Source organism: Homo sapiens, chromosome 5 (assembly GCF_000001405.40).
Source record: "Homo sapiens chromosome 5, GRCh38.p14 Primary Assembly".
Lineage (NCBI taxonomy): Eukaryota > Metazoa > Chordata > Mammalia > Primates > Hominidae > Homo > Homo sapiens.
Window position 1 is genome coordinate 34,281,994 of NC_000005.10, and position 6,723 is coordinate 34,288,716.

Sequence of the window (6,723 nt, forward strand, 5' to 3'; positions counted from 1 at the left end):
ATTCCTCCTGTAAAGAAAATATTATTAAAATGTTTGCAACATTAAAACAAATTTTTTTCTATTCACAAAGCAACAGCAAGAGAAAGTGGAACAGTGCAGAAGGCAATAAATATTCTGAGTCTTTCCTGAAAATAGCTCTTTGTGCTTTCAGCCTTCAGTTGGTGCACCTATGTTAAAGTTATGTTCTAATTAATTACTGAAATTAAAAAGTGAGAATATGAGACAAGAGATCAAGTATTTGGAAAGGTGTTGTATTTATGGACCTGCCTTCATGATGTCCTCTAGGTTTCATTGTATGCATCTGTGAAGTAAGGGGTCCTGTGTACCATAAAACCTTCAAATGACCTTCAAATACCATTGTTGCAAAAACCTGATTAATAACTAGACCAAAAAGCTTCTCCAAAATTTGTGAATGTCTGTCTCTGTAAAATTCACTGAATCATCTTTTACTTTCTCAGATTTTGCTTTACAAAATTTTGACTTAACTGATGATCTATGTGGTTTGTTTGTTTGTTTGTGATGGAGTCTCACTCTGTCGCCCAGGCTGGAGTACAGTGGCGTGACCTCGGCTCACTGCAACCTCTGCCTCCTAGGTTCACGCCATTCTCCCGCCTCAGCCTCCCAAGTAGCTGGGACTACAGGTGCCCACCACCACACCCGGCTAATTTTGTTTTTGTATTTTTAGTAGAGACGGGGTTTCACCGTGTTACCCAGGATGGTCTCGATCTCTTGACCTCATGATCCGCCCACCTCCGCCTCCCAAAGTACTGGGATTACAGGCGTGAGCCACCACCCGGCCAATCTATGTCTTTTTAAAAATTATCATCAGTAAAACAGTGCATTTAAACTCTGTACAACATGAGTTTTACCTGCAAGTGTCCACTTAAATGCAAATTTTCTTCTGCCTCTGCCATCCCTGAGTCAGCAAAACCAATCCTTCCTCTTCTTCCTCCTCAGCCTACTCATTATGAAGGCTGAAGGATAAAGACCTTTATGATGATCCACTTCTATTTAATGAATACTACATGTATTTTCTCTTCCTTATTTATTTTTTCATAACATTTTCTTTTCTCTGGCCTACTTTATTGTGAGAATACAGTAGAATTTTTATATATCATACAAACTATATGCTAATTAACTATGTATGTCATTGATAAGGCTTATGATTAACTGTAAGCTATTAGTAATTTAATCTTTGGGGAATCAAATGTTATACATGGATTTTTGACTGTGCTGGGGTCAGTGTTCCCAACCCCTACACTGTTCAAAGGTAAAATGTATTTTAAAAGATTTTGTAAATACGGTTGTTGGAAAAGTTTTCCACTATTTGTAATTTCTTTAAAAAGAACACATGTAAAAAATGATCTGCAGCTTATTTTTATTTTATTTTATAACTTGTTCATTTTGAAATAGAGACTATCAAACATTTTCAGAAATAACAGAACACGTTTTTATATACCTTCATTCACCTTCCCCAATTGTTTTAACATCCTGCATAAGCATAGAATTCTTAGCCAATAAATAAAATAATATTGTATCAAGTTAAAGTAATTGATTAGTAACAGATATTATTAACTATTAACTAATCAACACATTTCAGCCATACTGTACTAGTTGTTTGCTAGTCTACTTTTCTTACTTTTACTAACATTTTCATGCAAGATTTCACATTGCATTCAATTGTTATGTGTTCTTAATCTGCTCCCATGGGGAACAATTTTTTGTCATGTGAGAAAATGTTCAGTTTCTCTTTATCTTTCACGATGACACTTGAGAAGTACTGGTCAGCAATTTTCTCCCCCGTCTTAAAACTGGCTTATAGTCATTGAGAGTAAAAAGATTGAAAAAAATAAGAAACATTATGAAAATCTGTCACATTAAGATTAAGAATCTTCTTCAGGTAAAATGTGCATTATCTTGTTCTTATGCTATGGGTTACCCGTGAACTCCTCTTTTATTCTCCCATTTATGTTATGTGAGTAAAGCACATTTGACAGATAGAGACTTTTCCCTTAGTTTTTTGTTTTGTTTTTTACTTTTAAAAATATCTACTTGTTCTCATGCTCTTTTTCTAAACAAAAGAAAAAGTAATGAAAGTTGTAGCAAAAGATGGAGAATTGTATATCCCTAAAGAATTGTATATATCTACATTATTTCATTTTGTTATTGCAAACATAATATTTTGATAGTTTAGTTGTTAATATATATAAACATGAAATTTGATTGTCGGGTTGCTTCATTTAATATTTGTTAACTTTGAAATATAGGGTTTGGGTTTCATGAACACTAAAGACACTTTCCTTTCTAACTCTACTAAGCCTTTGTCTACTTAGAAATAATTCCTATGATGTTAGAGTTAATCCTCGATCCCAAAATGGAAAGTCATCAATATACTATCCAAATATATAACCAACAAATTTAATGATAACATTGATTATCCTATTCCTTCACTTTAGCATTTTAATATTTTTCTTCTGAACAATAAAAATAGTCAATAAATTGGACACTTTAGAAAATAGAAATGGTGTCAACCAAAATAAAATCAGAATAGGTAAGATAGATAAGTGTTTTGATAAATAGGAAATTAGAAAGAACTTTACACAGTCTCCATATAACTGAGAATTTATTTTGGGCTCAGAAACCTGTGACTGGCATAGGCACTTTATGAAACAATATTACATCTGCAATTCATTAAAATAACTTGTGTTTGTGGCTGGGTACAGTGGCTCATGCCTGTAATCTCAATACTTTGGGAGGTCGAGGCAGATGGATCACAAGGTCAGGAGATTGAGACCATCCTGGCCAACATGGTGAAACCCTGTCTCTACTGAAAATACAAAAATAAGCCAAACGTGGTAGCACACGCCTGTAGTCCCAGCTACTCAGGAGGCTGAGGAAGGAGAATCACTTGAACCTGGGAGACAGAGGCTGCAGTGAGCCGAGATCACACCACTGCACTCCAGGCTGGGCAACAGAGCAAGACTCCATCTCAAAATAAATAAATAAATAAATATCTTTTGTTTGAATCTAGAAGCAGCATAGGGCAAATGGTGTTTAGATCTCGTAATGCTGTTTAATCTTAGTATAAAAGACAAGTTACAATAAATTATAGGCAAAATAATATTAATATTATAATAGAGATTATTCAATTCTACACTGCAAACCATTCCTTTTTTTTTAAGTGTCTTAATTTTTTTCTTAAATACTTCTGTTCAAAGTTTTAAGCAACTATGTTAATTAAAATTCTACTTCAATGATTGTACTTTTCCACATTTTCCCAAAACTATCCTTTTGTCTGGAACATATGAAGCAAGTTTTATATAAATCACATTTATTTGTTTATATTTTATATGCAAGAAGCTGTATCAGTTTAAAGAATGATGGGTTAGTTTTGACTGTTTATATGCCTATGAACACATTGCCACAATAAAGATACAAAATTTTGCTATCACCCACAAAGGTTCTCTTTGTCCCCCATGCAGTTTATATTCTTCCCTGTCCCCAAGGTCAAGGAGTCACCAAAATGTTATTTCATTATAAAGTGTGTTTGCTACGGTCTGCATGTTTCTGTATTTCTAAAATGTATATGTTGAAACCCATTCCCCATTGTGAGGTTATTTGGAGGTAGAGCCTCTGGGAGGTAATTAGGTCATTGGAGTGAAGTGCTCACAAATGAGATTAGTGCCTTTAAAAAAGAGCTCCCAGAGAGCTGCTGTGACAGTTAATATTAAGTGTCAACTTGCTTGGATTGAAGGATGCAAAGTATTCTTTCTGGATATATCTGGGTGTTTCTGGGTGTTGCCAGAAGAGATTAACTTTTGAGTCAGTGGACTGTGAGAGGAAGACTCTTTAGGAAGACCTATTCACAATGTGTAAGGCATCATAAAATTGGCTACCAGCACAGCTAGAAAAAACAGGCAGAAGCAGGTGGAAAGAGCTATTGACTTGCTGAGTATTCCAGCCTTCATTTTTCTCCCTTTCTCCCATGCTGGGTACTTCCTGCCCTTGAACATCAGACTCCATGTTCTCCAGCTTTTGGACCCTTGGACTTACACCCATGGTATGCCAGGGGCTCTTGGGCCTTTGGCCACAGACTGAAGGCTGCACTGTGAGCTTCCCTGCATTTGAGGTTTTGGGACTCAGACTGGCTTGCTTGCTACTCGGCTTGAAGATGGCTTATCGTGGGACCTCACTTTGTGAGTCAATTCTCCTAATAAACTCCCCTTCTATGTACATCTATCCTATTAGTTCTGTCCTTCTAGAGGCTCATGACTAATACAGCGGCTTTGCCCTTTCCTCTAGGTAATGACACAGTGAAAAGGCACCATTAAGGAACCAGAAAGCAGGCCTTCATCAGACCTACAGTCTGTCGGCACCTTGATTTTGGACTTCCCAGCCTCCAAAACTATGAGAAATAAATTTATGTTGTTTATAATCTACCTAGTTTATGATATTTTGTTACAGAGCCAAAGCAGGCTAAGACTGCAGTTTCTAGAATTTTATAAAAATGGAATATTATAGTATATATTCCTTTGTGTCTGATTTTTCTAACTTAGCATAATAATTTTTAAAATCTTTCATGCTTTTGTATGTGTCATTGGTGTATTACTTGTATTACTGAGTACACTTCTATTCACCCGTTGGTTGGATTTGATTCAAATTCCCGTCTACTGTAAATCAAGTTCTGATGAATAACCGGCTCCAAATCTACGTGGGAATATATGATCTCCTCTGTCTTGGTGGAATACTTAGGCATGGAATGTCAAAGTTAGAGTGTATATTTATATTTGAATCTTTAATGAACTGCTGCATACTTTTCCAGAGTGGTGTAATTCCATTTTACAATCTCGCCTCAGCTGTGTAGGAATTACGGTTGTTCTTCATTGTTGTTAACACTTGATATTGTCATGTTTTTGTTGTTCTTTTTGGCACTTTTGAAGGGCATAAAAATGGCATCCTATTGTTTTCTCTTAAATTTTAATAATTAATGATGTTTTCACATAGGCTTAGTTATCCATTAGTCTTATTTTATAAAATACTATTTTGTGAATTTTTTGGGGTAGTAGAGTATTATATATAAGATTTTTAAACATATTCTGAATACAATAACTTATTCAGATGTAAGTGGTGCTACATGTTTGCTAATTCTGTGGTTTGCCTTATTTTCTTAACTATGTATTTTTTAGAGTTTTAATTAGAAAAAGCATATTTTTTAAATTTTTATTTTATTGTTTATTTTTTGTTTTCATGAAATTGTCTGATAATGAAAACTGTGAAAAAAAATATTTGTTTTTTAAGCTATCCAGTGAGTGGTATTTTACGATGGCAGCTTCTACTAAAGTAATTTAATATATTTTAAAGTTATTTGTGTATATCTTGTTTTTTTAATTGATCAAAATAATCAGTGCTTCTTTAGTACTGTTTGTTTTGTTAATCATAGAGTTTACTATTAGGGTCAATGAATGTTAGCAGGAAAAGAAATTAGGATTATTATTTTATGTTTAAATTAAAATTAATATGTTTAATATGTTTAAATGCCTAACATTCAAGAAATAGATACCAATCAACTTAAAATTTAACAAGGCACATTAATTTCCCTTGGCTGGGGAAAGGCTCATTTAATGTGCTAGGGGACAATCATAATGAGTCATAAGTTATCTTCAGTAATTAAGATCATAGGTAACAACAAAGATAATAACCTTATAATATTTAATAGAAAGTATGCAAGCATTGGCTTTTTATTCTCTATCATGTCATTCATTAACAGGAACCACTTACTTATTTTTTCTTAGTGGTATATCCTAGATGTTTGCATTTTGTATTGCATATTCAAGTAAATGATATTATTTATAGTGTAGACTTTTGTTTATGATTGCCCCATTTGAGAACACACATTTTTAGTAAAATATGAAACAAATTTGTTTAAACCACTTGAAGCCTGGGAATTTCTTCAGCTCTGGAATCAGAAAACCAAATGTAACATTCTAGAGAGACTTTAGTGTATTTATTTGTAAGAGTTATATAGCCAATTGATATGGTTTAGCTCTGTGTCCCCACCCAAATCTTATCTCAAATTGTAATCCCCATGATCCCCACATGTGAAGGGAGGGACTAGGTGAGAAGTGGTTGGATCATGGGGGCAGATTCCCCCATGTTGTTCTTATGATAGTGAGTTCTTATAAGATTTGATGGTTATTTAAGGCAGTTTTCCCTGCTCTTGCTTGCTGTCTTTCGTCTGCCACCATGTAAGATGTGCCTCTTTAGCCTTCGGCCATGATTGTAAGTTTCCTGAGGTCTCCTCAGCCATGCGGAACTATAAGATAATTAAACCTTCTTTGTTTATAATCTTTATAGTAGTGTGAGAATGGACTAATACACCAATTAAACGATATTACAAACAATAGTCCAAGTTATATAATATTGTGTTGTTTGTGACAAAACAGTTTTTGGGGATCGATATTTCATGTTCTTTATAAAATGGTTTTATAAGTTATCATTCTTTTTCTATGCCTGGAAATAGTTAATAGCACTGCGATTATCATATTTTAAAAGATTTAATAGAATTTCCATGTGAGACAACCTTGCTGAAAGTAATATTTGTGGGAGATTTTTCATTGTGTTCTCTATTTAATGTATTATGTATAGTTGGCTTAAATTATTTCTCAAGTTAGCTTAGTGTTTTGAATTTTTAAAATTTGTAAAAACATAAAATTCTCTTACTTG

The 6,723-nt window shown here is 33.9% G+C and overlaps 1 long non-coding RNA gene across 1 annotated transcript; it reads left to right on the forward strand.

The window, feature by feature from the left end:
- Positions 1 to 4,016: 4,016 nt before the first annotated feature.
- LOC124900957 (uncharacterized) lies at positions 4,017 to 6,403 on the forward strand. Its single transcript, XR_007058726.1, has 2 exons — positions 4,017 to 4,196; positions 4,303 to 6,403. It is a non-coding gene; the product is annotated as an uncharacterized LOC124900957 (long non-coding RNA).
- The last annotated feature ends 320 nt before the right edge of the window (positions 6,404 to 6,723 follow it).